Source organism: Homo sapiens, chromosome 1 (genome assembly GCF_000001405.40).
Source record: "Homo sapiens chromosome 1, GRCh38.p14 Primary Assembly".
In the NCBI taxonomy this organism is placed as follows: domain Eukaryota; kingdom Metazoa; phylum Chordata; class Mammalia; order Primates; family Hominidae; genus Homo; species Homo sapiens.
This window is the reverse complement of record NC_000001.11, coordinates 117,862,342-117,881,798: the sequence shown is the minus strand read 5'-3', so window position 1 is coordinate 117,881,798 and position 19,457 is coordinate 117,862,342. Positions and strand designations below refer to the sequence as shown.

At 37.5% G+C, this 19,457-nt stretch overlaps 1 protein-coding gene across 2 annotated transcripts in view; it reads left to right on the top strand.

The window, feature by feature from the left end:
• The window catches only part of GDAP2 (ganglioside induced differentiation associated protein 2), a 66,137-nt gene extending 47,823 nt beyond the window's left edge, over window positions 1-18,314 (top strand). Inside the window, exons 13-14 of one of the 2 annotated variants that reach the window (NM_017686.4) lie at window positions 3,647-3,790; window positions 11,183-18,314. In NM_017686.4, coding sequence (NP_060156.1) covers window positions 3,647-3,790; window positions 11,183-11,230 — 192 coding nt within the window. In that variant the 3' untranslated portion in view covers window positions 11,231-18,314. Of the gene's footprint in view, window positions 1-3,646; window positions 5,088-11,182 lie in introns of those variants that run through there. The other variant, NM_001135589.3, reaches the window with a different exon arrangement.
• Window positions 18,315-19,457: the final 1,143 nt, after the last annotated feature.

Sequence of the window (19,457 nt, the reverse complement as noted above, 5' to 3'; positions counted from 1 at the left end):
AATCTAGAATTTATGTGCACTGCATGCCCAGAGTATTAAGATAATAGCTCAGCAACTTAATTGTTGCTGTCACCATTGTGACTGCTAATTTCCTGGTTTCTAAGTGATCTTGAGTTGTGGTCCTGATGTTTTGGTTGTATGTGACTCCAGCGCCTTTGTGGGCAACCCTTATAAGCCGTTAGCCCATCAGTCCCTGCCTGTTTTTGTGCTCTTTGTTCATCTGGGCCTCATTTATGCTGTTGTTACAGAATACACTTCCCTCCTCTGCCCATGGCTACCTCCTGTTTGACCTTCAGGTCTCAGCTGTACTTTCTGTAGAAATCCTTCCCTGACCAATCCTGCAGCTAGTAGCTGTTCTAGCATTGTAACCCCTTAAGATTCTGTAGTCTTATATCATTGTTATGTTTTTATTTTAATTGCATGTTTAATTTTCTTCCTTATACATGAGCCAGCAAGATCCATGAGGGCTAGAATATAGCAGTCTTGCTCACAATTATATTCCCACTACCTAAGCCTACATCTTGACTTCATCAAGATATCTAGTCTCTTGGTCTTTTTACTTTCTGAAAATATCATCTTGCCCTTATTTTCTTCTCTATCAAGCTAAAAACTGACATTTCATCACTTCATCCACTCTTGTCAATGCCTAAATTAACCTATGACCTGTTACCCTTTCATCACACCTGCCCATCAAAACCTAAACTTGAAATAATCCATTGTACTGCTTTCTTCACTCAAAGAAACCGTCAGTAAGGAGCTCTTTATCTTTACCTTCCCACTCCAAACCTACTTGCTAGCTGTTCTTATCATTGCCTCCTTTTTCTCTGTCACAAAAATGTGTTCCATCTTAATGAACACATTTCATTAATGTCCTTCTTAATGAAGGACAGTCCCTTTCCCTGTGCTGTGAATCCCATAGTAATGACATTAGCTTAAGTTTTCTGAGCACTTGCTATCTGCCAGTTCCTCCCATGAATTATCTTGCTTAAGCTTTGCAGTATACCTGTGAAATAGGTGGCAGTAGTTGTCCCACCATACAGGTAAGGGAATTGATGCTTAGAGAGATTAAGGAACCAAGATAACCAACAGTTAGTAGCAAAGGCTGGATTTGAATCTAGGCATTTTAATCCCAGACTGTAAACTACAGAGTGTATTTCCATTTCCTTAAAGAAGCTCTCTTCAACAGTTAGTGTCTTTCTCCTCTCCCGCTTTGCTGGATCCAAATTATCTACCAACTTTTAAAAATGCTAAGATCTATTTTTCTCTCCTCCACTTTACGACCAAAATTGTTTAGTATAATCTTTGTTCTATGCTCACCATCTCCATTTCTCATGTACCTTTTAAATTACTCCAGTGTGGTTATCCTGCTTTGCCAGCTGAAGCTTTTCACACCAAAATCATCCATAATTTCTGGGTCACTAAATCTAATAGACACTTTTCTCTCTCTCTGTTACCTGCATTCCCTGCAGCCTTAAACACAGTTGATCACTTCTCCTTGACACAGTTTGTCTTGGCTTCTTTGAAACTTACCTTGCCTGGTTTCTCTCCTACTTCTAGCTGCTGCTTCTCAGTCTCATTTGTCAGCCTCTCTCTCTCTCTTCTCATCTCTTTTTAGAGACAGGGTCTCAGTCTGTCACCCACACTGGAGTGCAGTGGTGTGATTATAGCTCTCTGTGACCTAGAACTCCTGGCCTCAAGGGGTCCTCCCACCTTGGCCTCCAGAATAGCTAGGACTGCAGACGTGCACCATCATGTCTGGCTAATTTTTTTTATTTTGTATTTTTATAGAGATGGGGTCTTGCCCTGTTGCCAAGGCTGGTCTCAAACTTTTGGCCTCAAGTAATCCTCCCATTTTGGCCTCCCAAAGTGCTGGGATTACTGGCATGAGCCACTGCACCTGGCTTCCTGCTTGCATCCTTTGAGTGTTAGTGTTCCCGTGTTTCTCCACCCTCATCTTTAATTCTATACCTTTTTTATTCCCATTTCTTCAGTGACCCTCCAAAATATATGCAATCTTCAAACATATATCTGGGGAGGCAATAAAGCCTAATGTTTAGAACCATGGTTTCAAGATTCAGATTACCTGGGTTCTAATCCCAGCTCTACCAGTTATCAATTTATCATCTCAGGCAAGTAGTATAATTTGTTTGCTTTTATTTTATCCCCTATAAAATGGAAATAATAGTACCTATCTTTTAGGGTTATTGAAAGATGAAATGAGTTAATACATGTAAAATACTTAAAACATTACCTGACGTATAATAAGTGCTCAGTAAATGTACACTATCATCATCATTGTCATTATCATCATCATCATCATCATCATTATCATTCTTAGGCTTTAGACCTTGGTATTGAACTACTGGTTAGATATCTCTACTTAGGCATCTTATAGGACCCTGAAGTTCAACATTTTTAAACAGAACTCCTCATGTACTCCTCTTCCACCTATTCCTGAACTGCTATTTGTGTTTTCTGTGTTAGCAAATGGGACTTCTGCCTACCCAAGTGCCTAAGCCAGAAACCAGAGAGGCATTCTGGAGCACTTTCTGTACCTCATCTCCTAGCACATTGCATCAGTTCTGTGTGTTTACAATTGCTCAAATTTATGTCTGTGTCTTTATTCCCACTGCCTCTACATTAGTTCATCCCACTATCAGCTTTTACTTGAAATGACACAGCAGCCTCCTAATTAATTTTCATGTTGTCCTGCCTCCAATATTGCACTGCTCCAAGAACCTTCAGGCATGCCTTGTGAACGATTTTCTGATAATGTTATTATAAGAAGCCTGCAATATTTACTATAATGGTCCTTTTCAAAAAAGTTTGCTATTTCCTGCATACGTTACCTTCTTCTGTAAGTAAAATGGGGATAGCAACAATATCATACCTGCCTCATAGGACTATTGTATAGTATGTTGATAAACATGGACTAATTTGTGATTGCCAATTTAGATAGATAAACAGTAATTTTTAAATTCAAGCCATTACCTAGTTTATGTCAGTATTGTTTGGTATCAAGAATTTTTTATCCTTTTTTTGGGAACCAACAAATTTTGCAGACTAGCTTTTAGAGAGGGATTGCATGTTGTCAAGTGAAATGAGCAAAGATGGCACCACATCTACAAGTGATTCACTTTGATGGACTTCGAGAAAGAAATTCATGCCAAGCATCAACTGAAAATATATGAGTCCCAAATATTGGCACAAATTTTCTTTTCAGTCTCATTTGAAAAATTCACAGTGTGAGATTTGGAGATATTAACCATTTTCAGAAGACTGGAACACCAATTATTCTACCAAATAATGCAGCGGTTTTGACTACAACCCACAGTAAGAAGCATGTAGTACAGCACTAACACACTACACGCATGGGAACTTATATACATGTAATGGAAACAAAAGCTTCATGAAACAAAACTCATTCTTCTTATAGTCTCTAGTCAGTGTTATCCTCGTTTCTTCTTTTTAATGTTATTAATAATCAACTAAACTGATGATTGCAAAATTCAGATTGCGCTTTGAAAACACTAGTTATTTTAAGACTTTGAAATATAGTTTTTATCTACTATAAATTTTCCAAATTGTGTTTATGTTTCTAACTATGGCAACTAGCTTAAATTATTTTTTCTCTTCTATTAATCAGGTGTCAACATGGTTTTTTACCACCTTTTCTGTCTCAGGACTGAAGGACAAAATCCACCATGTGGACAGCCTCCACCAGCTGTTTTCTGCCATATCACCAGAACAGATTGACTTTCCTCCTTTTGTCCTTGAATATGATGCCAGGGTAAGAAGTACCAGAAGTTCTCCCTCACCTGGTATGGTATATTAACTGTTCTATAGAGCAGCACTTACGAGCACAACATCCTGTCATTACCAGATATTAATGTAAATTAGTGAGTCTTAATAAACTTGGTAATATCATTTAACATACTTTCCCTATGATAACTTTAGGAAAAGGATTTGTCCCAAGAGAGGCATTTTCTCCAGATAAACGTTTCAGTGGGAGATCTCTCTGCTGTGAGTTCAGAACCAATTTTCGTTTGTATTGTAAGTTTTCTACCATATTTAAAACAGATACCTCTGCCTAATTTTCTTAAGATTGAATGGCTTTCCATCTACACAGAGCCAGAAGAATTTATTGGTGATCACTTTTAGAATTAATTGCAAATCATGTGGCCTATCTCAGTAGTCTTTACCCTGCTAAAAGTTTCATTTATCTAAAAGGTTGTATAATGTTTTTAAGAGCATCATCTGATAATATTATTGTTGTTATTTATAGATGCGTTTATGGATCTGTTACATAAGCACTAGTCACAGGACTACTCGTGAATTTCATCAATTTATTCTATTGTGTTTATTCATGATATCACCTTAGTAATTTTTGAAAAAAAAAAAGTAACACACTTGGCCAAAAGCTCATCAAGCTGATTGTTTAACTGTTGCTGATTGCTTATCTTTATATTGTATGAACCAGGGGATAGATTTGAAAGTTATATTAAGTTTGAAATGAATTATTCTTCCCTAATTATTGTGCAGTGTTTATACAGCAAAATAAAAATTCTGCAACACAATTTCTCTCTAACATTTCTCTAACTTTAGCTATAATTTTTTTCCCCTTATGTGCAGAGTAAAGTGTATAATGTGATCTAATGGCTAATAAAATTTCATATTTGGCTGTTATACAGAGAGGATTTGTAACTGGAGCAGCTGGATCATAGATACAAAAATTGTTGAATATAGGAAAGAGAAAAGAGTACATTAGTTTGTATTTACTGCAGATTGCTGGAGTAGAAAATGATCTTAGTGTTTTTCCTTTGAACTCTACATCACTCATCTTAATGCTTAAAAAAATGGATAGCAGAAAATGTGAAAGGCACTAAGCAACATTTTTACACTCAAAATTTTGAAGACAATTCATAGCTAGTATCTGGATTTATCATTTATTTTCTGGGATAGAAATATATAAGTTGGGTGTTTGATTAGGAAACCTAAAGGACTGTATTTTAAGCCAAAGCATTTTCTATATACTTAAGGGCCTATAAAGCAGGCTTTCATTAAATATTAAGTATAGCTCCACCACACTCAAGCTTGGTTTTGTTTTTTGTTTTGTTTGGTTGTGTATTTTGGCTGTTTTATTTTTGTATAAATACAAGCATAATGTAATTAATCAAAATTAAGTAGACTAACTTATAATCTAACACTTGGCTCATTGGATCATCTCTTTGTACCTATGCTAGAGCTTTCTAAAATTGAGATGTTAGATCAAAGAGAGGCATAAAAATGGGGAAGAAACAAAAGAGGGTTTCTTAGTCCATTTCTTTGTTGCTGTAAGGGAATACCTGAGGCTAAGTATAAAGAATAGATTTATTTGGTTCATGGTTCTGCAGGCTGTATGAGAAGCAGGGCACCAGCATCTGCTTCTGGTGAGGGACTCAGGCTGCTTCCACTCACGGCAGAAGGGGAAGGGAAACCAGTATGTGCAGGGATCTCATGGTGGGAAGGGAAGCAAGAGAGAGGGAAGGGAGGTGCCAGGCTCTTTTTAACAACCAGCTTTCACAGGAACTAATAGAGCAAGGACTTACTTATTACCACAAGGACAGCACCAAGCCATTTATGAGAGATCTGCCCCACCCCATGACTCAAACACCTCACATTAGACCCCACCTCCAACACTGGGGATCAGGTTTTAACATGAGGTTTAGAGGGTCAAATATCCAAAATGTAGCATTTTGCCCCTAGCCACCCAAACCTCATGTTCTTCCCTCATGCAAAATACAATCATTCCATCCCAGCAGTCCCCAAAAGTTTTACCTTGTTCCAGCACCAACTCAGAAATCCAAAGTCTCATCTGGAGACTCAAGGCAAGTTCCTCACAGCTGTAAATCTGTAAACTCAAAATCAAATTATTTGCTTCCAAGATATAATGGTTGTACAGGCACTGGGTAAACATTCCCATTCCAAAAGGGAGGAATAAGAGGAACAGGCCAAAAGAAAGGGGTAACTGGCCCCTTATAAGTCCAAAACCTATCAGGGCAGACACTAAATCTTAAATCTCCAAAATAATCTCCTTTGGCTTTATGTTCTGCATACTGGGCACACTGGTACAAGGGGTGGGCTCCCAAGGCCTTGGGCACCCCCACCCCCATGGCTTTGCTGGTTGCCACCCACATGGCTTGCTCTCACAGGTTGAAGCTGAATGCTAGAGGTTTTTCCAGGCTGAAATTCTGGGTCTGGACGGGAGCAACCCAACCCCACAGCTCCACTAGGCAGTGCCCCAGTGAGGACTGCCTGGAGGTGCTCCACCACTGGAGCAGACTTCTATCTGGGAACCCAGGCTTTCTGATGTATCCTCTGAAATCTAGTTCCAAGCTGCCAAGCCTCCACCACTCTTGCATGCTGCATGCCTGCAGACTTAACACCACATGGAAGCCACCAAAGCTTATAGCTTGCACCCTCCAGAGCTGTTGCCTGAGCAGTACCTGGGACCCTTTGAGCCATCGCTGGAACCAGAGGGGCTGGGATGCAGAGAGCAGCATCCTGAAGTGTTAAAGCCTTGTCGCTCCCAAACCATTCTGTCTTCCTAGTCCTCTGGGTCTGTGATGCGAGGAGCTACCTCAAAGATTTATCCTTGCTAATCTCTCTAGCAAGTGGTTGCTCCACAGCACCCCTAGATTCCTCTCTTGAAAATGTTCTTTCCTTCTCTACCACATGCCTAGGCTGAGTTTCTAAAATTTTATGTTCTGTGTCCTTTTTAATTATAAATTCCAACTTTTTGTCATTTCTTTGCTCTCATATCTGGTTATAAGCTGTTAAAAGCAGCCACACCACTTCTTGAATGCTTTACTGCTTAGAAATTTCCTCCAGCAGATACCGTAGGGTACCAGTATTGTTTGGCCTTCCATAAAACCCTAGGGGATGGACACAGTGCAGCTAAGTTCTTTGCTAGGGTGTAACAAGGATGACCTTTGCTCTAATTCCTAAGTTCCCCACTTCCATCTGAGACCTTATCAGCATGGCCTTTACTGTCTGTATTTCTATCAGCATTTTGGTCACAACCACTTAACCAATCTCTAAGAAGTTTCAAACTTTCCCTAAGTCTTTCTGTTGTCTTCTGATCCTTGCAGACTCTTCTAGCCTCTGCCCATTACCCAGTTCCAAAGCTGCTTCCACATTTTCAGGTCTCTTTATAGCAACACCCCACCCCTCAGTACCAATTTTCTGCCTTCATCCATTTTTATGTGGCCATAAAGGAATACCTGAGGCTGGGTAATTTATGAAGAAAAGAGGTTTATTTGGCTCACATTTCTGCAGGCTGTACAAGAAGCATCACACCAGCATCTACTTCAGGTGAGGGACTCAGGCTGCTTCTACTCATGGTCGAAGGGTAAGGGGAGCTGGTGGGTGTAGAGATCACATGGCAAAAGAGAAAGCAAGAGAGAGAAGGAAGGGGCATGCCAGGCCCTTTTTAACAACAAGCTTTCATAGGAACAAATAGAGTGAGAACTTATTACCACAAGGACAGCACCAAGACATTTATGAGGGATCTGCCCCATGACCCAAACACCTCCGACTAGGCCCTACTTCCAGCATGGGGATCAAATTTCAACATGAAGTTTGGAAGGTCAGATATTCAAACTATAGCAGAAGATATCAGGAGATGATGTGGAAGGGTCAGGCAGAGAGCACATCGCTGGATACAGTAACTTTACATATTAGTGCTGCAGGTCTTTGGCTTTGTAGTCAGTGAAGAGTGTTCTGCAAGGGAGAATTGCCATTACATTGCTGTTTAGACAATGACTGTAGAAACAGCACAGAGAATGACTAGAGAGGGAAGGGTAAGTCCATGGGGGAAAAGATGAGGTCTATTAGTAAAGGCTGGCAGAGAAACGAGACTATATTGTTAGGGCAGTGGTAGTGATAATGGCAGGGATTTGAAGATTTTAGAGATATTTAGAAATAGACATTTTAGGAAATAAAATTCACAGCATTTGGTGACTGAGTAGCCACTAAGGATGAAGCAGAAAATAAGTTTCTGCTTTGGGAGACTTGGTGGATATGTTGCTACCACCACAGAGAAGCAATTTGGAGGAAAAGGATTGACAGATTAGGGGGAAAGGACAGGTACTGTGTTCAGTTTGTGACACAGTAGGTTTGAGATGCCCCATCAGTCATTGAAATGGAGATACCAGTAGGTAGCTGCATGTTACCTTGTAAGGAAACATTTTCCTTTGTTAGGAAGAATTAAAACTATGATCAGAGAAAAGAAATGAGTATAGAGTTGGTTAATTTCATTATCATGTTCAAATTGTGCCTTGCATATAGAAGGTTCTTTATTTGGTTAAGGAGTGAAGTGGTTAGTATCTGTTTAAAAAAAAAAAGAAACCCAAGTTTCAGTGGGCTTCTATTTTTCTGGGATTTATGTGACTTGGAATAGCAACATCAATTTTATAGGATTAAAAGGGACCTTTGAAGGTAATCAGAAGCTATTTTTTAACCTATCTAGGTAACAATGATACTGAGACCATTTCAGAAAGAGAGTTATTGGCATTCTTAAAAACACAGAGCAGAGAATATACAGTTTTTCCTGGCAACAATTCTTAAAATTTCTATGATTGTTTCCAGAAATAGAAAAAATATTTGATTGCTCAGCAGTCTCTTGCCCAGTGTGAAATTAATAATGGAAATTCTATTTCATGGCATTAAGTATTGAACTTGCTCTTCTTAGTTTGTCATAATTTAATGTAGGTGTGAAAAACTTAGAAAAAATTGGTAATAGAATAGAGAACTCCTAAAGACAGATAGTGAACTTTTCAGATGAAACTCAGAATAGATTCATCTCTTCAGGGCATGTTTCTGTAAGTATAGCTTCCATGCATATTGAAGATAAAGGATTTGGTCAGTGAAACATTTTTATAGGTATTTCTTTTTTATATAAAATTATTTTATTTAGTTTTTTAAGTTCTGAGGTACATGTGTAGGATGTGCAGGTTTGTTACACAGGTAAACATGTGCCATGGTGGTTTGCTGTACCTATCGACCCATCACCTAGGTATTAAGCCCAGCATGCATTAGCTTATTCCCCTAATGCTCTCCCCCCACCCTCCCCCAACAGGCCCCAGTAAGTGTTCCCCTCCCTGTGTCCATGTGTTCTCATTGTTCAGCTCCTACTTGTAAGTGAGAACATGCGGTGTTTGGGTTTCTGTTCCTGCATTAGTTTGCTGAGAATAATGGCTTCCAGCTTCATCCGTGTCTCTGCAAAGGACATGATCTCATTCCTTTTTATGGCTACATAGTATTCCATGGCATATATGTACCATATTTTCTTTATCTAGTCTATCATTGATGGGCATTTGGGTTGATTCCATGTCTTTGCTATTGGGAATAGTGCTGCAGTAAACATACATGTGCATGTATCTTTATAATAGAATGGTTTATATTCCTTTGAGTATATACCCAGTAATGGGATTGCTGGGTCAAATGGTATTTGTGGTTCTAAATCTTTGAGGAATCACCACACTGTCTTCCACAGTGGTTGAACTAATTTACATTCCCACCAACAGTGTGAAAGTGTTCCTATTTCTCCGTACCGTCACCAGCATTTGTTGTTTCTTGACTTTTTAGTAATCGCCATTCTGACTGGCATACGATGGTATCTCATTGTGGTTTTGATTTGCATTTCTCTAATGATCAGTGATGTTGAGCTGTTTTTTTAATATGTTTGTTGGCCATATATATGTCTTTTTTTGAGAAGTGTCTGTTCATATCCTTTGCCTGCTTTTTAATGGGATTGTTTTTTTCTTGTAAATTTGCTTAAGTTCCTTGTGGATTCTGGATATTAGTCCTTTGTGAGATAGATAGATTGCAAAAATTTTCTCCCATTCTGTAGGTTGTCTGTTCAACTCTGATGATAATTTCGTTTGCTGTGCAGAAGCTCTTTAGTTAGATCCAATTTTTCAATTTTAAAAAAAGGTTTTATTAAGGTTTTTCAAGTTTTTAGAAATGTAGCCTATCCTAGGATTTGTTTCTACCTATTTTTTTTATTTTGTTTGATACATGGTTAGGTTTATAATTGGAATGTAAGTTTTCCTAGATGTCTTGTTTTCCTGGTTATGGCCCAAGATCAATTCTTGCTCCAAAGCATTTGTGCTGAAGAATGGCAGAGTACCTGATTTATTTAGTCTCAAACAATTTCACTGCCTGCTATGTTCAAGACCCGGTAGGTTTAATGCTCTGTAGTAGCTATAATGTAAATGTACCATGAAGAAATGCTATTTTCTTCTACTTATTCTTCATTTCAAACTATTGTCTTATACTAGTGCTAAGCATTATCTGTTTGTGATTTGCTGAAAAACAAATTCTTTGTCAAAGAAATACTTTCCTTAAAAATGAGAAAGCAATCTTAAGTCTCATAAATCTAATCCAGGATCCTTCTATCATAAACTTAACTGTCTTGATTTTTACTGAGATTAGCCAAAATCAGAGCCAAAAAATTCCCCCTTGCACTAATTTGTTACCCTTACATTGACATTAAAGGTTTGGCATTTAATTCTCCATCTTGATCTTGAACTAAATTTCCTGAGAACTGTAATTGTTACAAGCCTTGCCACTCAGGCATGTCATGAAGACTCACTTCTGCCAAAATAGTTATAGCTATTAAATTCCTCTGTGATAACTTTTTTGTTTTCCTAACTCTAAATTAAGATTTGGCACACAGTAAGACAACACAATCTAACAAAAAAGAATCTGGATGTTAGATTTAAATAGATTTGAATTTAAATTCAGGCTGTGCTGGTTACCAACTAGGTAACTTTAGGCAAATTATGCAATCTGTGTGATCCTCAGTTTCCTCTTCTGTAAAGTGAGGATGTTACCTACTTCATGGCATTATGTGAAGATTTAAAGGGATGACTTTAAAAGCGCCTATAAATTGTCTGGCACATAAAATATTCAATAAGTGGTATTATTCTTAAAAAATATTATGATCCTATTGCCTTTGTCTGTCTTATACTCTGAGTGATACTAGTTGAACTACCTAATGGCTGAGGGCCTGCTTAGTGCCAGACATGTGCTAGACATTTTATATCACTACCTCAATGACTGTAAATCCCTTTTTTTCACATTTCCAGTTAAATTGGTTCTGTTACTTAAATGTTCTTCTCCTTTTTTCTTTCCACAGGAAAACGGGCCTTACTATACATCATATCCCCCATCACCAGATTTGTGACCTGCCATCTTTCAGTGCTTCTTGGTTCCCAGGATGCCACTTCCTCCACGAATAGCTACCTGTTGAAGTGATATTCATTGTTGCTGTACAGATCCAGAGAGCCTTTTGTCCCCACCTCTCTGGTATTTTTTTATTGACTGTATATTTTCTGGCACATAAGCAATCTAAAAATGGTAGGCCATTCTGAACTGCACACATTTTAAATTTGTATATTTATATGAAATGGAAATGTTCATTTTTAGATTGTTAATAGAAATTGGGGAGCAACTTTTGAGTATCTTTAGTTTCCTGAAGGACACCGAATTCTCCATTAGATAAACCACCAAGACTGTTCACATCATCTCTCTAACATTGCACGCTTCCTTTGTGTACTTAAGTGATTCTCGAAATATACAGAACCAATGTATGCTAACCAGATGCATTGTTTGCTTCAGATCCATGGTGTTAATACCATGTATATTTTATAAAGATAATTTGGCTGTGTTAAAAGAGAATTACCTGAGTCCAAGAATGTGGAAATGTATCTGACAAAAAACATCAAAATCATTAGCAAAACATAGGACTTAGAATGTTAATGTACAAGTTAAGACTAAAGTTTAAGGACTAAGGTTCCTTGGATTATATGACTTGTTAAGATTGCCACAGTTCCGATCTCAACAGTGTGGGGTGAAACAAGAAGACTGTATCTTCAGCCTTTTTCCTATAATCATGGATGATTTGGTCTTATTCAAAAGGACCGCACATATTAGTACTCTTAAGAGCATCTTCCAAGACTCCAGCAGTGAGCATTTAGAGAGTGTGTTGTCTTCCAGAGTCATGAATGATTTTGTTTAGCTATCAGGTCTACTACCTCTAAGGACATTTCATAGCAGCATCTCTTGAGTTGCCTGCATCAGTGTGGAGGAAGTGTGTCACAGTGAACAAATCCAGGGAGCTGATAATTGGCAAAAGACCACTTTTACCACTCAGGCTCTATTTGTGCCTTAGCTTGGTTATGAGTAAAAATTAGAATTATGCTGCCTACCTCACAGAGGTATCATGAAGATAGCATTTAGAAAGGGCTTTGTTGTGGTGGGGTATCTTCAGTTAGTTTTTAAATGGGAATAAATATATATGAGGGAATGCTACACAGCACTCCTCTTGTCCTTGATACCATTTGAGTGATTTTTCTTTTTGTGTGGCAATACCTGTTAGTGTAAAATTCCAACCCTGATGACCTCCTTCCTCTTTTGTCCAGAATCTCTTCTGGCCTGCTCATCCCCTGATGCTATACTTCAATAAGAGGCATCTGTTGGCCATTTTAAACATTTCTTCTTGAATTAAGGTCAAACCATTATTATTCCCATCTGGGTAGCTTTGTACTTTTTTTGATTCCTACAGCCACCTCCCCACAGCCCCATCTTCCTCACCCCATCACGTACATTGGCAGTTCAGAGAAAAAAAAAAGCAGAACCTTTCTGTTCTATCATGTGCTCCAGATCAGTGCTTCCAAGGGTCCCATTCTTTTCTGCCCAAACTAATTCTTCATTGGAGATCAAAGAAACATATTCTCTTCATTTATGATAGGGAAATGCCCCTATAGTGCATTAAATTCATCCTGTATTTTCCCATATAAACAAGAAGAGACTTTACATTTTTTAGATAAAGGTTCTTATCTTTTGCATGTATTGAACACATTTTCTTTGTGTCAGACCTCAAAATTACTTGATCCTTATATATACATCTATGTTAAGATTTTCTCTTATGTCCCCTAGGTCATCACATCCAGGCAGCCAGTCAGATGTCGGATGTTAAGCTTTCTCTCAAACAGTACTTTTTTTTTAACCCCTTGGGCACTGTACCTTAAAAGTCTGCAACTTTAACTTCATCTTCTACAGTCAATCGTGAGATCATATTTGAGGTATCTTCTTCACAAGGAGCAGCTATGAAAGTCTGCCAACTTTTCTTTGTTAAAGGGGAACTTGGCTACCTCAAGAACCTGGCCCAAACCATTTTCTGTAGAGATAATAGAGGCCGTAAGCTACTTTGCCAATTTGAAAGGAAGCAAATTTATATATACAATTTCTTACAGGCAATGATTTTGAAAGGATGTTCCTTTGCTATATTCATACCAGTATATTAATGTTTAGTAACACAAGCAGGATTCTACATATGCTGAGATTTTAGTACAATTGATGTCCTAGGGTATAAAGGTGATACAGAACTATATACATATCAACTGTGTTTTATAATTCAATGATGACTAAAGAAAGATAAGGACCACTCTTCTCACTGAAACTAAATTTGATGTGGGACCAAGTTCATGCTTTTATAGATGTCTAAAGTGTTATAGAATGAAGTTGCTTCAAAGTACCAAATCCTAGAGGAGAAATATAATGACCTTGATATTGAAATGATTAAGCAACATTTGGTATACCAATCTGCCTTTGTGAAAAGGTTTAGCCTGAATAATACATGCCATTTTCAAGGACATATTAGAGGATAAAGGGGATACTGGATGGAGATGACCACCAGCATCTGATGTTAATTCAAAGCACCACCAAGTCTTTAATTTAATTAAACTTTGGTCATGCCAAATGCTAATTGAATTGTTGAAGACACAAGTTATAAAATATTAATTTATTAATCATGCAAGGCATAATATGATTTTTAAAACAAGTACACTTCTTGCTTCCACGTGTATTTGGGTTCTTAATTCATCTATATCCAAGTTTCTTGATAGTGAAAATTACCTCTTAAAAAAGGTTCAGCCTTTATTAGACTCGTGAGGGCAAATGGTACATATTTTAAAGACGTTTTCTCCTTTAATGTATATTATGTTTCATTGGCGGATGCTTTATATTTCCTTTTTCTTTTTCTTTTTTTTTTGGAGACAGTCTTACTCTGTCACCCAAGCTGGAGTGCAATGGTGTGATCTCGGCTCACTGCAGCCTCGGCCTCCCAGGTTTAAGTGGTTCTCCTGCCTCAGCCTCCCTAGTAGCTGGGACTACAGGTGCCTGCCACCATGCCTGGCTAATTTTTTTTTTTTTTTTTTTTTTTTTCAGTAGAGACAGGGTTTCACCATGTTGGCCAGACTGGTCTCAAACTCCTGACCTCAAGTGATCTTCCTGCCTCGGCCTCCCAAAGTGTTGGGCTTACCAGTATGAGCCACCGTGCCCATCCTGTATTTCCTTTTTCAAAGGAATACATCTGCAGTATTTTGAGAGTAATTAGCAGAGGGTTTTTTGAGTATTTTTGGTAGGAAAAATAGATGTAGTTTTTTAATCAAATTTCTGAAATTGAAAATATCACTTCTTTTTAAAGAGGGATAAGTATAGTCACTCTAGTAGAAAAACATGGCTTGCCTATTTCCTCTTCTTTTCTGTTTGCTTGGATATTGTTTAATGAATTCAAACTGTAGGTTTAGTCTTGTCTTTATAACAGTTAATGGAGAAGTGATAAAATTAAGTATTCAGCATAAACTAAAGATCACTCTTTGTATTTCCCCGATACATTGACAGTATGTATGTATATAGAGTTTAAATTGCTTAATATATGCACAGAAATGATTAGAATTTGAAGTACTATATAGAGGAGAGTTACATGGTTCTAGTGGCAGTGGATTGATTGTATTAAGGACCAAAAGAACTGCAGGATAATATAAAAACACCTTGAAAACTGGAGTTAGTTAGGTTTCTTTTTCTTTTTCTTTTTTTTTTTTAAAGGGCCTTACTGTACTTTTTTTTTTTTTTTGGTCACCCAGGCTGGAGTGCAATGGCACGATCTCGGCTCACTGTAATCTCTGTCTCCTGGGTTCAAGAGATTCTCCTGTCTCAGCCTCCCCAGTAAGTGAGATTATAGACATGCACCACCATGCCCGGCTAATTTTTGTATTTTTAGTAGAGACGGGGTTTCACCATGTTGGCCAGGCTGCTCTCGAATTCCTGACCTCAGGTGATCTGCCCACCTTGGCTTCTCAAAGTGCCAGATTACAGGCATAAGCCACTGTGCCTGGCCAGGTTTCTGATTATAGTTTTCTTAAGTTGTAATCATCATAATTAACGTGCGCTAGAGTGTTTTAACTGTGCTGGCACTAATGCTTCTTGGCATATAATTAACTCTTGTTTTGCAAAAAGACCATGAAGAATGAAAGGAGGGCTTTACCTTACCTTAGTCATTTTGGGTGAATACCGTAAACTGGGTGGCGTAACAAAACACATTTATTTCTCACAGTTGGAGGCTGAGAAACCCCAAGATCAAAGTGCCATCCAGCGCAATTCCTGATGAGGGCCCTCTTCTGGCTTCTTGCTGTATTCTCACTTGGCAGAGAGAGAGAGACATCGTTACTTTCCTGTCTCTTCTTATAAGGGCACTAATCTCATTCATGAGGGCTCCACCCTCATGACATGATTACCACCCAGAGGCCCCACCTCCAAATGCCATCACTTTGTATGTTAGGGCTTCAACATATGAATTTGCAGACGAGGAGGAGAACATAAGCATTCAGTTCATAACATACCTATAATCTAGGTCATATCATAAACCCAGAGATGATAAGGATTGCCTGGTAGGCCTAACCATATATACATATACATGCATGCACACACACATATATGCATAATCTGCCTTGTTTTACATTCTTTGAGTCGGACTTCTGTGGTCCATATGTAGAGAACATAGAGCAATAAATAACCTAGTTCAATCTTTGAGTCTTACTGAACTAGTCCTTAAACAGATGGTATCAAGATCATTTTAGATATTAGTGACTCTCTTGTATATTAGTTATTTTTTACACTTTTAAGAACAGCATCTTTGAATCTTTTCAAGTACAGTATGCCTTAAATGTATAGGACCACTGAGTTCAGGAAGAAAAGCATAGGTATTCTGTAGGTGAATTACACTAACAAAATCACAACTGCAGAATGTGATCTGATACTTTTGTTGGACAGTAAAGCTAATACATTTTATATACACAGTCATACCTTTTTTTTTTGTAATGTGTTTCGTTAACGTAAGCACACAGTCATCACAGACTGAGACAGGACTTTGTTAGACCAGATCTTGTGAGCTAAATATTTAAGAGCTTAACATATATAAATGATTTTAATTGGTATTGGGCGAAGGAAACCTAAAAATGCTTAAATTGACAGATCTTACAATTTGCTTACTGAAAATTCAGAAAGCTTTTATGAAAACTTTGTATTTTAAAATATTTTTTGCTCATTCTGAATTAGAAGTTAGATCCCTTTTAAAGAGGGTCTCACTCTATACAAATATAGCCTATGAAGAATCAATAGTGAAATAATAGTGTTTATATTGAACCCCAGGATGGGACATTATTTTTTGACCATTTACATGAGGTCTTTCTCTAATTACCAAAGTTAACCTTAAGAGTAGTTAAAAACTCAGTGAATTTTAGTCAACATTCTCTGTGGAGACCTGGACTAGTGTTTCCCAAACTTTCATGTGCATGTATCAAATCAGCTGAGGATATTATTAAATGGAGATTCAGATTCAATAGTTCTGGGGTGGCCTCTGGGATTATCAGTTTCTAACAAGCTCTTAGGTGTTATCAATTCTCCTGGTCCCCAGACCATAGTTAGAGTAAAAGAGTATAGACTGCATTTAGCTTCCAGATTTTCTCTTTCAAGGAAAGGAGACAGAACTGTCATTGTAATTCTTCCTGTGGTCCAGGCACTCTAACGTTCATCGTCTCTTCTAATGCTCTTACAAATCCTGTGAGGTTGGTGATAATAGAAGTTACCTCCTGAAGACGACATTCACAAGCAGGACCGACCGTGTAGACCAGTTTTCTCAAACTGAATAATGTACTTCACTTTTTAATAAGGAAAAAAATCTCTTAGCTCCTCAGTTTTTGCTTAATTTATATTTATTATAATGTTATCTAAATATATATAAACATAAAACTAGGTATAAATGCTTTATGTTTATATGTCTTGCACAAGTATAAAACCAAAACAAGTTTATGGGTTAACACAAGCAAAACTATAAAACTAATAAAATTTAAAATAGTATTAAATAGTGATGTTTTGACAAAATGAAATTGTCACTTGTAATGTGATTATGGTACTGAGTGCTACAGTACAGGCTCTTTTCAGTTCAACAGGCATGTACTGCCATGTACTATGTGATGACCCAATTCACCCTGTTTTCTCCTATTCAGACTATTACTTTAATTTGTTCAGCACATAGTGATGTTATTTGGTCCTCATCTAGCCTGAATCCATCATTCCCCTATTAAAACAGCCTCTGTTCTCCATAAGCCTTCCACCACTAATGTAGAACTGGGCCTTAACAGGGAAGTCAATACAAATACAAACCTAAGCACTGAGATGGTTCTGCCAATATTTGGTTTTAATACAATTATCCAAATAATTCAGAGCATGAATATTATTTTAAAATGTTTCATCAACATGAATAATGCATAATTCTCATAGTAAGTTCATGGGCACTTTCCTACACCCAACACATATATACTCCACAAGGATTTTGCATGGACCCCAGTTTAAGAAGCAACAATTTAGTGGTCAGTAGCATTGGCGCTTTGGCTTCTGACACACTCAGACCTTGGGCCTGTTTCTCAACTTTTTCTGAACCTCAGTGTTTTTGTGTATTCAACAGGGATAATATTAATTGAATAATTAGGAGGAACAAATGCAATAATGTACATAAAGCATGCATAGTAGTGTTTATAAATAGCAGCCACCACTGCTTTGATTAGAAATAATAACAGCTAACATTTGAGGATTTACTGTGTGCCTTGAACGCTGCTAAGCTCTTTATATATATTACATATTGAGTGGTAGAATCAGGATTCAAATCCAGATCTGACTCCAAAGCGCATGCTTTTATAAAACATAATTTAAATATAGAATATCAATGTAAATTGCTTATTTAGAAAGTTTATTTTCTTATATTTTCTCAAAAATATTTATTGTCAAATCAGTGATTCTGTAGAGGGGTAAATAGCTAAATTTCCTTTTAAAAATTGTATGATGTGCTGATTTCAAATTGATGTGAAATACAGATTTCATTTAAAGGCAGTCATGCCAGATTGTGCTACAGTAAAGGAATATTCAGACCATTGGGCTCAACTTAGCATTATTATTCTCTTGCATATTTGTGATCAGTAACTAATAACATGAGATTCTCCCTGAATTGCAATATAGCTTTTTTTGCAGAAAAAGCATTCCCCCCATCAGTATTATTCCATGTCAGTTTTGTGAAATAGTGTGCAAACATCCTAATGTTCATATGTAAAACATCTTTCAAAACTTTAGTTTTTAGTCAGTCTTCTATCTTTTCTTAGTTTTCTAAGGTAAACTCTGCAATTCTGTAAAAATGAAGAAACATACTGTAGGCTGGATTTTTGTTTGTTTTGCTTCGTCTCTGTTTGGGTAATGGGAGGAAATACTAGTAGAGAGTTGCAAAAGAAACTACTCCAGTAATTATTTATTAATGAAGATGGTAGTTATCAAATTTAAAAATTTTCTCTACTTACTAAAACATAAATTTGCACAAATTATTAAAGTAGTAGAGACATGAAATATGAGGCTGTTATTGAATTTTGTTAATTAAGATTATTTTTAAAATATGTCCCTTTATCCCATCCTAGATAACAACACAATAATAATAATCTATGTTGTGGAAATTATTGATTCTTTTCCATTGCAGCTTCTTTTCTACATTTCTAGAGTCTTCAAGTTTAGTGAATGAATTTCTCTCCATATGTGCAGGTTATCAAGATAGAACATATGTTTTCTGTAATACTTCATCACTGCCTCAACATATCATACCATAAGAAAATTGCTTGGCTGGGCACAGTGACTCATGCCTGTAATCTCAGCATTTTGGGAGGCTGAGGTGGGTGGATCACCTGAGGTCAGGAGTTTGAGACCAGCCTGGCCAACATGGTGAAACCCCATCTCTACAAAAATTAGTCGGGCATGGTGGTGCACGCCTGTGGTCCCAGCTACTCAGGAGGCTGAGGCAGAAAAATCGCTTGAACCTGGGAGGCGGAGGTTGCAGTAGCCAAGATCGTGCCACTGCACTCCAGCCTGGGTGACAGAGCGAGACTCTGTCTCCAAACATAAAAAGAAAAAGAAAAGTGCTCTGGCATAACATTTATAGATACAGCCCAGTCTTCCTAATTTTCTTCATTTCAACAATGTTATTTGACTTGAGTTATAAGCCTAGTTCAGTTAAAGTTATGGTCCTCTTTCTCTTA